The following is a 14,543-nucleotide window of genomic DNA, read 5'->3' as shown; positions in this document are numbered from 1 at the left end:
AAACTACAGATTTTAAAAATGCACAAAATATACAATTTGTTGAATAGATTTTACTTAAAATTTGAGAAAGCTTCATAATATTTTTATGATTTTTTACATGTATGAAGAGACAGATACTATCACTATAAACATAATTGTGGGACTTCTTGTTTAGCATGGTAGAGGGTAGGGTAAAACCACAGTTCAAAATTTTCAAAAAATAAAAATAGAAAAGTAGCAACAATATTAAGCCTGTAGCTAATGGAAGAGTGATGTCATACAAAAAAATAATCTTTAGGGGTTTGGCTTGATGCAGCCAAGTAAAATATGTAGGAGCATTGCCTAAGCTAATATTCTCTTATAGAAAATAAATCCCCAGGAACTCATGTTAAACCAGAAGGGCAAAATCTATGGCCATAAAGGAAGAGGATTTGTCTTTATAAAAATTATCCCTTGTGACAATAATGTTGTATAAATAAGCATCTCAAAACTCAGACATAAAGGAACTAATTATTTATTTTGCTAATGATTCTGCAGTTAAAAGACTTAGAATAAAAAAGGGATAATAGTACTTTTTATGTGGAGAACCCTTCTGTGGCTTTAACCACGTAATAAACTTTAACATTACCAGTTATAAATCATGTTGATGTGTGCCCTTCCAACATGATGCTGCGAAAGTTACTCTTTGTCTCTGTGCTATTCTTCTTACGTTTAGTTGAATCATGAGAACACATCTGATATATCCAAAAAAGGGACATTCTTTAAAATAACTGACCAGTAGTCTTTGAGATTCTCAAGTTTATTAAAAACAAGAAAAGATTGAGGAACGGTTACAGATTAGAGGGAACAAAGGAGACATGGGGACAAAATGCAATCTGATATTGTGAATTATATCATGGAACAGAAAAAATAAACATTTGTATAAAACCGGTAGAAATCTGATTAAAGTCTGCAGTTTAGTTAATGTTACAAATGTTAATTTCTTAGTTGTGATAAGTGCCCCATGATTATGGAAGATAGGAGAAGCTGGGTGTAGCTCTAGCAATATATAGGGTTAACAGACTTAACATATCAAAGAGAATTAGTGAAGGAAGGTTCCAAACTGAAATTCAAAAATAAAACATAAAAAGTATTTTTAAAGAGTGTTTAGGAGATATGTGGGATGAAATAAAATCTTCTAAAATAACTGAAATTTGAATTTCAGAAATAATGTAGAGAGAGAATGGGGATGATATAATATTTAAAGTTATATTTTTGAAAGTTTCCAAAAACTGATGAAAAACATTACTCTGTAGAGCCAAATACCTTGTGGATTCTAAGCAGAATAAATATAATGGAAGCCATTCATAGGCACCCCAGAGGCAATCTGCTTAAAGCTAAAGTGAAAAGAAAATATTCAAAACAGAGTGGGGCAGGGTAGAGCATCATAACAACATAAAAAACACAGCAAAAGACTCAACAGAAGTGACAGAAGTCAAGGAAAGGGAAGGATACCTTTAAACTTTAGATGAGAGAAGAAAAGACGGGAAAAAAAAGCTGTCAACCTAAAATTCTATACCCAGTGAAAACATTCTTCAGAACTAAAGGCAAATTTTACTTGTCCTGTGAGTGCAGCAAGAAAAACAAATATCAGAAAGGATAATTGTATGAGTACAGAAAGCAATGTTAATTATATCTCATGACGTTAAAAATTATGTAAAATCAAAATGCATGATAACAGTAATGTAAAATGCCACAAGGATGTAAATGGAGGAAAAGTATTCTAAGATACTAGCAGTATCAGAAGTTGCATTTAGAATGTTATAAGAACTACATATTTTTATCTCGGGTAAGATCTTAGAGGGGAAAAAGTATTCTATGAAGTTAATTAACAAAAATATATATATATATGCACCAATAAAAAGGGGACAAATGGTGGAAAAAAGAATGTATAGAAATTGGGTCAAATAAAAAAATAGAGAGATGTTGACATAAGCACAACCATATTGTTAGTTATGATAAATGTATATGAACTATACTATACATTAAAGAATAAAAGTATAAAAAATTTGTAAAACCAAACTACATATGCCATTTATAAGAGGCATATTAAGTATAAGGAAACATTAGTTGAAAGTAAAAGAAGGAAAATGATATGCCATACCACAGCACTCCTAGAAGAGTTGGCCTTTCTATACCAATATCATCCAAAGAGGAGTTTAAGGCAAGATGCAGTATTAATGTCAAAGTTGAAAGTTTGAAATAATAAAGGAGCCAATTCACTCCATATAACACTTTTAAATACACATGCATCCCAAAATATATATTTGAAATGTAAAGATAAAATTTGAAATAACTGAAAGGAAAAATTAATACTCTATTGTATTGACACAATTTAAGGCATATCTGTTATTGTTAACAATATAACAACATAATAATAATATTAACAATATGATGTTTGATATGGTTTGGATGTTTATCTCTTCCAAATCTCATGTTGAAATGTGATCCTCAGTGATGGAGGTGGAGCCTAGTGGGGGGTGTTTGGGTCATCGGGGTGGATCCCTCATAAATGGGTTGGTGCCCTCCCCACTGTAATGAGTGAGTTCTTACTCACTTAGTTCACAAAAGAGATGGTTGTTCAAAAGAGCCTGACATCTCTCCTGTTATCTCTCTTGCTATGTCACATGCCTGTTCCCCCTCCACCTTCTGCCATGAGTAAAAACTTCCTGATGCCTCACCAGAATCGAAGCAGAATCCAGTACAGCCTGCAGAACCATGAGCCAAATAATCCCCTTTTCTTTATAAATTATCCAGTCTCAGGTATTCCTTTATAGTAACACACAACGGACTAATACCGTGGTTCATAAAGCACTTTTCAAGACGTTTTAAAACACCAAAATCATTCAGAGAATCTTCACTGATGACAGTGAAATGAAGCTAAAAGTAAACTCAGGAAAGATAAACAGAAAACTTCCCTCCTATTTTAAAATTAAGCAACACACTTCTAAATAAGCCATAGGATAAAGGAAACCCCATGGAAAACACGGAATTTATTTAACTGAATAATGGAGATATGATATATGAAAATTTGGTGGATGAATATACATCAATGATTGGATGGAAATTTGTAGCCTTCAGTTGATATGTCAGAAATGAAAATACTCTAAAAACAATCTATCTATCACAGGAAGTTCCAAAAAGAAGAGAAAATGAAACCCTCAACAAAATTAATGAGAAATAATTAAGTATAAGTATAAATTATTGAAATGGAATATGGGATCATAAGGAAAATAAATAATGCCAATATCTGATTCTGAGTATACCAATGTTAAATTTACATGAGCTAGATTCAGTCATTTCAAAATGCACATAAACTTCAAAAGATCATGTTGTATACCATAAATACATAAAATAATATCTATTAATTTTAAATAATAATACTAATATAAGATCAAGAAAAACATTTAGAAAATATAAATTATCCAGAGAAAAAATAAAAAAACAAGAGATTACTATAAGTCATGCAGATATTTAAAAATAAGGAAAGAATACTAAGAACAATATTTGACAAACTGGGCAACTTTTTAAGAAACAGGACATCAAAACTAACCCATAAAAAATAGAAAATCTGGGCATTACTAAATTTAGTTTAAACAATTCAATTCATTAGTTAAAACAGGGGTCCCCAACTCCCCCGGGCTGCAGACAGGTACTTGTTTGTGATCTGGATAACAAAGCAGGAGATGAGCGGCCAGCAAAGGAGCATTAGCACCTGAGCTCCACATCCTGTCAGATGGGTGGCAGTGGCATTAGATTCTCATAGGAGTGCAAACCCCATTATAAACTGCGTATGTGAGGAACCCAGGTTGCGCACTCCTTATGAGAATCTAATTAATGCTTGATAATCGGAGGGAGAATAGTTTCATCCTGAAACCATCCACCAAACCTGTCCATGGAAAATATTTTGTCTTTCACAAAACAAGTCCTTGGTGCCAGAAAGGTTGGGGACCACTTGAGTTAAAATATTTACATTCAAGAATTGCAGAATTCATTCTTTGGCAGTAAATTCTACCCAGTATTTATGAAAGTGACAGCATAAGTCTTACAAAAACAAGTTCTGCCAGGAGGCCAAGGTAGTGTTACCGGTAGGTCTTTGTTCTTAGAGCTCACATAGAGCTCCCAGGATGGTGGCGGCGGCTCCCAAGATGGCAGCAAGCCTTTCGTTCTCTGACCTGAGGCTCTTGGCCTCACAGATTCCAAAGAATGGAACCTTGGGCCATGCCGTGAGTGTTATAGCTCTATTAGAAGGCGTGGGTCATGGAAAAGAACCATGGAACCCAGCGACTAATGTTCAGCTTGATTAGGATGAACCCGGGTACTTGGCCACACAGGAAAAAAGGTGAGCCTCTAGCCTGAATGGGAGCAGCAATGGGCACCTCCCTGGATCAGAAATGCAGTGGACACCCTGCTGGATCCAAAGTGGTGGAAGTCAATGGTGGGTCTGCAACGGCAGCAAACAGCAGTGGTGGAAGGTGAGCAAAAGCTCAGCTCGAGCTGGAACAAACATGGACCAGAAGAGTGTTCAGTTGCAAGATTTAATAGAGTGAAAACAGAGCTCCCATACAATGGGAGGGGACCCAAAGGGGGTTGCCCACTTCTGGCTCGAATGCCTGAGGTATATGTCCCAATCATTGTCCCTCCCCCTGTGCTCTCAGGTGATATATTATTTGACTATTTCTTTATCTCCTGCTCTTGGCCTAATTTGTATTTTAGTGAGCCCTCTTTACTACCTGATTGGTCGGGTGTGAGCTGAGTTACAAGCCCCATGTTTAAAGGTGGGTGAGGTCACCTTCCCCAGCTAGACTTAGGAATTCTTAGTCGGCCTAGGAAATCCAACTAGTCCTGTCTCTTAGTACGCCCTCTCAACAGGAAAACCCAAGTGCTATTGAGGAGGTTGGCCGATGACAGTTCTTAACTGCTTCCTGCTGAACTGGGGCGTAGTAGGGGTCATGCAGTTGAAATTTCCTCAGGAAGGGTGCCTTTGATGTCATTAACATTGGAGCACGGGCTAGTTGGCCAGTCCAGGGGTCGGCGGGAGATCTTGGTCATGGACTGCATCTGGGGCTCCATTTGAAGAATGATTTGTAGTTTTACAGCTTTGATTCTGGAAGAGACAAACTTAACAAGGAGGTTAAAGATACAGGGATTGATATGTATGGCCTGAAGTGACGGTGAATATTTCTTTGCCACATTTCACAGGCCCTGACTATCTACTTGATAGTTTTGAAAAGTCCTCATCCAGTAAATAATGATTTGGCCATCTGATGGGTGCTATCAAATGCCTAAGTGAAAGGTGTGGTGAAGGATTTTAAGTAATTTCCAATGGTTAGCTGCAGGCAAAAGTATTTTTCCTTCTTTGGTGGCTAGCCATCCTGAGGGGAGGAAACTATGTCCTCTTGAGGTTCCCCATTCTATTTCTTCTGCTGAGTACTGGGGCTTGGTTTCCTGGAGGGGATTACCCCATACTAGGGTTCCTTCTATAAGCATTTCTAATGGAGGGTCCCACCTTGTGGCTCTTTTGGCTTCAATATCCGCTTAGAGGTTCCCTTCTATTTAGCTTTCTTTTCCTTTCTGATGACCCCGGAAGTGTAAGACTGCCACCTCTTTAGTTTCTCTACACCCAATAATATTCTCCTAATGGCTTCCTGATGTTTGATAGGTGTTTCCTCAGAAGTTAGGAATTCCTTTTCTCTCCATATTGCTGCGTGGGCATGGAGGACTAAGTAAGCATACTTAGAGTCTGTATATATATTTAACCTTTTTTCCTTCTCCTAATTCTAGTGTATAATAGCCCCTGCTTTTGCTAGGATGTTTCTTCCTAACAAAGGAGTGGGGCTTTCAGGCATAATTAGAAAGTTATGTGAAAGGAGTAAAGTTCCCCAGTCACAACTTAGTGTCTGGGAGAAGTATCTAGTGAATGCCTGTCCTAGGACCCCTCGGATAGTGACAGATCTAGAGGACAGTTGTCCAGGACAGGGGAGTAAGACTGAGAAGGCCGTGCCAGTGTCCAGGAGACAGTTAGCCCCCTAGGCCTCAATGGTCAAGCATACCTCTGTGAGGGTGATGGCATGGGCTGGCGCTTGCCCCGGGTACCCTCAGTCCTGCTGCTGGATCATTCGGTTAGTGGCTTCTGACTCAGAAGTCCTTCGTCTCCTGGGGCAGTGGGCCTTCCATGATTCCCTTGACATAAAGGGGCACGAACAAGGGGACAATCTTTTTTAAAGTGTCCTTGTAGACCGAGGTGGAAGCAAGCCCTATTAGGCACTTGATTTGCCTAGACTTTCCCTGTTCCAGAGCCTCAAAAGTCCTCTTGCCTGAGGGCCATGACTAAAGTGGTGGTGCCCCCTTTTTTTTTAATCCCATTTGTCCCGTTCTGCCTGCTCCTCCTGATCTCTATTATAAAAAACCGAGATTGCCAATTTCCATAGGGTTTCTAAGTTTTACTCTGGGCCTAAGGTGGACTTTTAAAGTTTTTTCTAATGTCTGCAACTGACTGAGTGATAAACTTATCCTTTAAGATTAGTTGACCTTCGATAGAGTCAGGTGACAGAGAGGTATCATTCCTCAATGCCTCCCTTAGTCTCTCCAGAGAGGCAGTAGGATTTTCTTCCTTTCCCTGTGTTATAGTGGACATCATTGAATAATTTATAGGCTTCTTCCTAGTTTTCCTTAGTCCTTTTAGCACGCAAGTTAGCAAATGTCGGCAGCACCAATCTCCATGTTCTGATTCTGCGTCCCAATGAGGGTCTACACTGGAAACTGCCTGCTGGCCTGTGGGGAATTGTTCTCTTTCCTCTGTTGTCCTCTTTGAAGCCACAGGTCCTATCACTGACCTGACTGAGATACCAGAGATTGCCAAACTCTCAGGCTGCAGTTATGGCAGCACTTCTCTCATTTGGGGTTAGTGTCTGATCTAGCAGTAACATTATATCTCTCCATGTCAGATCAAAGGATTGTCCTAACCCTTGTAAAAGCATCAAAATAGCCATCAGGATCATCTGATAATTTACCTAGGTCTATTTTAATTTGCTTCAAGTCTAACAGGGAAAAAGGCACATATACTCTGACTGGGCCGAATTCTCCAGAATACATCTTAGGGGCGTTTTTGCCTTAGGGGGAATGTTTCCCATCTGAAAAAAGAATATAGGGATGCCAGCACCTCTAGTCATTTTCCGATGAGCATTAATCCTAGAGCATCCTTTATTGTCCTAATGCTTATTCCTTTCCAGGGTGCGTAACCACCCATGGACCTCTGCTTATCGGATTAATTACACTCATCAATGTAGCAGTCCTGCACCCCTTTTCCTGCCTTTCTTGACCACAAAGAAAGGGGTCCCAGCTGCTGGATTCTAGTGGTCCTTTACCAGCATGCTCAACATTGCCTTTGTGCTCAGGGGTGAGTCCTAGAGCTGGGCTGGGTTCCTGAGTATTTCATGACAACCCAGCTACCCCATCAAGATGCATTCCCATAAACAACCGTTCTTATGCAAATTCGTTTCAGAGAGGGTGTAGGTAACCTTTTGAGTCAGGATTGACATAGAGTTTTTTTGATTCTGTAAGTGCTTTAAGGCTTGGCTGAGTGCAAACAGCTCGCATGTTTGAGCAGACCAATTATTAGGCAATTCTCCTAACTCTGCTTCCACAAGAGTCTCCCTATCAATTACTGAATACCCATCGTGGTTTTTTTCCCTCAATCACCTGGAAGACACCATCTATCTCCTGTCCTGAAGGGAGTTCCTCCTAGGTCTGGTCAAAACTTTGTATGGTAATTAAGATCTAAATCCCTCGTTAGGAAACCTGCTGGGTTAAGGGAATTTTCAGTGGTTAATGTTAAATCACATTTTTCAAATGGAATAGCCCCATACTTTAAGATTTTTGAGTTAGTAAGTTACTTTTTTTTTTTTTTGACTTAGGATTGTTCTGAACTGGTGAGGTGTGCTCACAATGAGGTTTCCTCTAAACGTTATTTTTCTACTTTCTTCTGTTAGCAAAGCAGTTGCTGCTACAGATTGAATGTATTTGGGCCATCCCTTTAATTTACTCAATTCGCTTTCATCCTGATGTATTATTTTGTCGCAGACCCAGTTCCAGTTGTTAAAGTACTGGGTCATCAGTTCTAAGGCCCTGTCCATGGAGCCAAGGCTTGGAGATTATACTGCAGAGGGGTAAGCTGGGTAGAAATTGGGGGAGGAGAGCATCTTACACAATGGGGGAGCAATCCTCCTAGCCATTTACAAACTTGGGGACATGGCTTATAATAGAACTTGGGCCCTGGCAAGGGTGGTGGGGAATGGGTCCCACATAACTGCCCATGTTGAGAACTATATACTTAAATTTGGAGGGACACCAGGACAAGACTCCCTGGGTTCATAGCCTAGGTGCCTAAGGACACAGCGTAGAACTTCCTTAGATCCCTTTGGAGATACAACCTGATCTAATACTTGGGAGAGGAAGCAAAAGTCTGAAGCATTAGCATCCAGGAGGCAGGGATTGGAGGAAGTAGATTCAGTGGTAAGGATAATTTTGGGGCTACACTTTCAAGAAAGTCATGGTCAGAACCCAGGAGGTATGGATCAGAAGGAGAGGTAAGGGCGCACATATGGGCGACTGTTGAGTAGAGATTTCTGGCTGTGCCATGATCTTGACCAGCCAATGCCGGAAGTTTGGGATGACAGCTTTCTGCCTCCAGTCAACCCTTGGCTTCCCCAGGAAAATTGTGAAAGCAGAAGCTGGTTCCAGGCAGACCAATTCTCCCAACCCAGAAGGGTTGGGCATTGTTAGAAAGCCTTTTCCCAGGAAGCCTCATACCAGAATCTTTAGTACAGCAGCCACGCTAATTGTTCTTAACTGGCCAACAGGTGTCTGATATTTTCCTCCAATTCTAAGGAAGGACAGGATAGAATAGCAAGCAAAAGTGGAGTGATATTACTCACTGCTTTGGAGAATCCCCTTACAGGCCACCAAATGTTACCAGCAGGTCTTTGTTCTTAGAGCTCCCAAGATGGTGGTTGCCACTCCCAAGATGGCAGCAAGCCTTTTGTTCTCTGACCTGAGGTTCTTGGCCTCATAGATTCCAAAGAATGAAACCTTGGGCCATGTGGTGAGTGTTATAGCTCTATTAGAAGCTGTGGGTCATGGAAGAGAACCATGGAACCCAGCAACTGGTGTTCAGCTTTGTTAGGACAAACCCAGGCACTTAGCCGCACAGTAACAATGTCTTCTAGTCTGAACAGGAGCAGCAATGGGTGCCTTCCTGGATCAGAAATGAAGTGGATACCCTGCTGGATCCAAAGGGGTGGAAGTCAATGGCCGGTCTGTGACAGCAGTGAACAGCAGTAGTGGACAGTGAGTGAAAGCTCAGCTCGAGCTGGAACAAACATGGACCAGAAGAGTGTTCAGTTGCAAGATTTAATAGAGTGAAAACAGAGCTCCCATACAATGGGAGGGGACCCAAAGGGGGTTGCCCACTTCTGGCTCGAATGCCTGGGGTATATATCCCAATCATTGTCCCTCCCCCTGTGCTCCCAGGTGATATGTGATTTGACTGTTTTTTTTTTTACCTCCTGCTTTTAGCCTAATTTGTATTTTAGTGAGCCCTCTTTACTACCTGATTGGTCGGGTGTGAGCTGAGTTACAAGCCCCATGTTTAAAGGTGGGTGAGGTCACCTTCCCCAGGTAGGCTTAGGAATTCTTAGTCGGCCTGGGAAATCCAGCTAGTCCTGTCTCTCAGTAGGAGGATTGTTTGAAGCCAGGAGTCTGAGACAAGCCTGGGCAACACAATGGGATGCAATCTGTACAAAAAATTAAAAATTAGCCAGGTGTGGAGGTGTGTGCCTGTAGTTCCACTATTTGGGAGATTGAGGCAAGAGGATAGCTTGAGTTAGGAGTTTGAGGCTGCAGTGAGCTGTGATTGTGCCACTGCACTCCAACCAGCAGTGCAGGTGAAACATTCCTGTCAGCCTAGGGTCCAGGTGACACAGTGTGACCCTGTCTCTAAAGAAAAACATAAACAAAACAACCCAAAGTTCTTCTGGAGTACAGAAATAGAGTAGATTTCTATATGAAGGTAAAACAAATAAACTTTTAGAAGAAATTCTAAAAGAACATCTTTATGACATTGAATAAGGTTAAACGAGTATGTCACAAATAGTAGACACCTAATTGGTAGGAAATCATAAAAATTAATAACATTCATTTATCTAAATGCAATTAGATTATCTAATTTTTATTGTTGACATCAACAAAATCCTGTGAAAGAATTGAAAAGGACTGACAAATTCTACCTGAAATTATTCGTGAGAGCCAGAAAAGAAATCAGAGAACAGTTTACATCTGAGTGGACCTTAAAAAACGAGCAAACATTTAGAAGTTAGGAAATAAGGCAAGGAACATTCCATGAGGATACAGACACATGAACAAAAGCTCATGGAGTGAAACTACATTCATATTTAGAGGACATATTTAACTAATTGACTAGAATGACTAATATGTAAAATAATTGTGTTTTTCTTCCAAAACTAGTCATAAAACTAGCTTTTTGTGAAACTCATTACATCATATTTTTTTCTGTATTATATAGATTAAAACACACCAAAATAAATTTTAAAATATATAGGACAAACCACTGTACAAAAACCATTTTTAGATGAACAAGGAAATTTTATTAAAGACTGAATATTAGGTGATATTAAAAAATATTGTGATGTTCAAAAGCATTATATTATCATAATGGTTTATACTTTTTTCCAAATTTTACTTTACATAATGTTTTCTAAATACTTCCTGAACTATTTATGGGTAAAATTACATGACATCTGAGTTTTGTCTTAGAAATCTCCTGTTAAAAGGAAAGAAAGAAAGAATGAACTGACAAACAAACAGATAAAGAGAAGAAAAGGGGTTGGTAATGATAAAAATTATGCTACAGATTTGATTGATGACAATCACAATGGGCTTTGCTATATCATCTCATTTTCTGTATATTTGGGATTTTTAATTATGACATATTAAACACAAAACCTATCACGAAAAAAGGAATAAGGAAGAGAAATATTTAACTGTTGAAAACCTTCTGCTGTTCCATGAGTAACTGTTATTCAGAGTATTCCTAATAGTACGTCTTTCAATTCTTAACCTTATTATCCCAAAAATCTACTGTGTCTCATCGAGTTTATTTCTTAGAAAATAGAATGAAGGTTATATTCCGACTTTTTAAAGTAAACTGTGCCTACTTTCTCTGAGACAGAGCAGCAAGGCACACAATGTTTGTTGTGTGTGTGTGTTTATTGTTTGTTCTCAATAAATACTGGAGACATTCTACTATTTTGCAATTTTAATTGACAGAATTCCACCAGTTTATTAGTATAGTTGAGTGTATGCAAATATGTATTTCTTTGCTTGAGAGAAATATAATTCAGATATAAAATACACTATATACAAATATAAAGTTCAAATTTAGAAGTCCTGTGGTGTGTGTGTGTGTGTGTGTGTGTGTGTGTGTGTGTGTGTGTGGTGTGAAATTTTTCTTTGAATCCTTCAAAGATTGAATTGCCTTTCAAAACTACCTTGGGCAAAAAGTACAAATTTCAGTCAGACTTGAAACATAGAGGGTGGTCTTTAGTAATTTAAAGAACTGTAAGGAAAAAAAAAAAAAGACCATAGGTGTTATTGAATATATCCTCAAAAACAAACTCATTGCTTAAAGCAACTTTGATAAAATTTTCTTCATTGTTCTAAATATACAGTCCAGTTGTTTTCTATCAGGTTGGTACTAGCTCCCTCCAATACCACCAATGCATATGGAATATGTGAGGGTGTTTGAATTATCTCAATGATTACAGCATGCTATTGTAGTCATGCTCAGAATGCAATACTGTGGCATGTAGAAATGCTGCTGCTTTATAGAATTGGTCCAGTGTCTCTTACTGCATTTGGAACCAATACACAACACAAAATCAATTTAAAATTTCTCAATTACAGCTGGTTTTTCTGCTTTGCAATCTAACCACCAACAATAATTAATCATTTTGGAATATAAGGATGGCATGAAAGAGCTAATGTGAAACACACACAAACAAGAAAGTTTTGGAAAAAGGGAATTTCTCAGGGCAATATGCATACTTGAAAATCTTGATTACAACGTTTGCACTTAAAGTGAGCTAAACTGTAAACTTAACACGGGATTTTACCTAAGAGATGTGATTATGTTTTCCCTTGTAGAGTTGAAATCAAAGAGGAATTGAGTAAGAATATGCACAATATCCAAAATTCTTATTTAATGTATTCAAAAGTCAAGCCAAAATGTCATGAAGCTTCTTGGTTAGTTCAGGAGTATTCAGGTCACTTCTTCATACAGTTGAAAATAAACTCTGTGTAACAGCTTCCAAAACTTCTGAAAAAATATTTGACTTAGTCTAACAATAACTTTTATCACAGTAACTAAGTGGAAGGTTCAGTTGAAAGACTATTTCTATGTATATCATAATATAGTTCCACACAATGAAATCTAAAATTCACATCAACTGCCATTTCTTAAGAAGCCTGCATATGAACGTCTTAAAAATTGTACGGCATTCTTATATCTTAGCACAGTATCTCCTGGGCAAATGCATCTGAGAAAAGAACAGGACTCAAGGGTCAGTTTCTCATCTTTTTCCTGCCGAGCCCATTCAAGCACGAAGCTTCCTTTTGAAGACAGAGGGAGCTTTGTGCTTGAATTCGTTCCGCAGGGAAACAGTCAGAGAACTGAAGTCAATAGATGCAGTGTGTAGTTATGATTGCAGGATGCTCCCCCTAACTGGTGTCACATTTGAATGAAATCTGCAAGCCCCCTTTTCTTTCAGGTGATTCTCAGAAGTGTTCTGTCCTCATTCTCTGTGGCTTCCACAACTTTTCTATACCTAGATGAAAAATCTCTAGCTCAGGGCTAAAAATCCCAAAACTAGCCCCAAGTGAATTAAAGCTCAAGTTGATAGAAAGGGATTCATGATGCCTGTTGCAAACTTAGAATTTCTAACAAAGTATAGGCAAGTAATAATAACAATAACAATAATAATAATAATTTATTTATTTTTATGTGATTAAATGTTACTTTATACTTCAGTCAGTTAACAAACACATATTTTGCAAAGCAGCTATTCAAGTTAATATTTCACTTACAGTCTGGAGATATTTCCCTTGTCTCCAGGTTTTCAAGCTAGATTTATAAGAAAAAAATGATTATACCTACTGCTATTTTTCTCTGACATTAGTAGTTAAAAAGTATATACAGTAATGCTTACTCTCTGCCAAGTACATTTTTAGAACTTTAAATTCTTTATTATGAGGATATATGAGTTAACTGAGAGACAGGGATAACTAAGTCACTTGTCAAAAGTCACATAATTTGTAAGCACTGGATTAAAAACCAGTCTGGCTCTAGAATTCATTCTTATACACATAACATCTCATAGCTAATACAGATCACATGTCATTTACATCCTTCTTAGATTTTGATTAATAAATTTACTAATGCAATGGAATTGTTTTATATAAGAAATGAATTCATAAGTAGAAAAGTCATTCAAGATGCTTTCATTACTAACTTTCATGCATTCACTTATTATCCAAATTTATTTCAATTGTTGTCCCAACCTCAGTGCAAGTCATTGAAGTTGTTGAGATAAAAGTAGAAAATGTCCCTGACTCTCAGATAGTAAAGATGTTTACTTATTTGCCCCCAAACACTGCATAATTTTGTACCATTCACAAATCATCTGCAAGTGGCCAGTTTGTATAAATAAGAACAACGGGCTGACATGAGGTGCCTACAGCAATCTATTAACTCCTTTTAGAATATTAAGGGTTTCTTAGTGTTCCCAGCGGGGTGGTGCTGCCAGAGAATTTCAGGAGTACAGGTATACCTGCTCAGTACAGGTATACCTGCTCAGTACAGGTATAGTGGCCGAAAGACATCAGGAGGTTCTGCCAAAGGAACAGGCAGCTCCCCATAAACAGTAGCAGAGGACAAACCTGTGATGCACTAGGTCAGTGCAATTCATAAGGTAGTAGACACCAAGTCAGGGATGGAGCAAAAGCAGGTTACAAGAGAATACACCTTTTCAAAAACTTGATTCAAGAATATACTCAACCAATCATAAGGAACTTAATATTACTAAAAAAAAATTACCAAACCAAAAAACTCAAATCATCTAGTCATACTTCCCCACATTTCCAAGGCAGGAAACTCCTATATATGTTAAACAATAGATTCTAGATTAGTTAGAAGTCAGAATGGACGTAGACTAAATGCCCATTGTGATACAAGCATCACCTAATAGATCACAGCTCGGCTGAGTTGGCGTGTCTGTGTTGGATCCCTGGTTCCATGACTTTTTAGCTATGGGGTAGTGACAATTTTTTTTTAATGTTTCTAAAGTTTACATTAAAATAGAGAGAGTGATGTAAGCTGCTGCATTTTTGGTCAGGATTAAATAAATTAATGCAAAAGTACCTAAAATAGAGCCTAGTGTTGAGTGAGATCT

Source organism: Homo sapiens, chromosome 11, assembly GCF_000001405.40.
Source record: "Homo sapiens chromosome 11, GRCh38.p14 Primary Assembly".
Taxonomy (NCBI): Eukaryota; Metazoa; Chordata; class Mammalia; order Primates; family Hominidae; genus Homo; species Homo sapiens.
Note: the sequence above shows the minus strand (reverse complement) of the source record.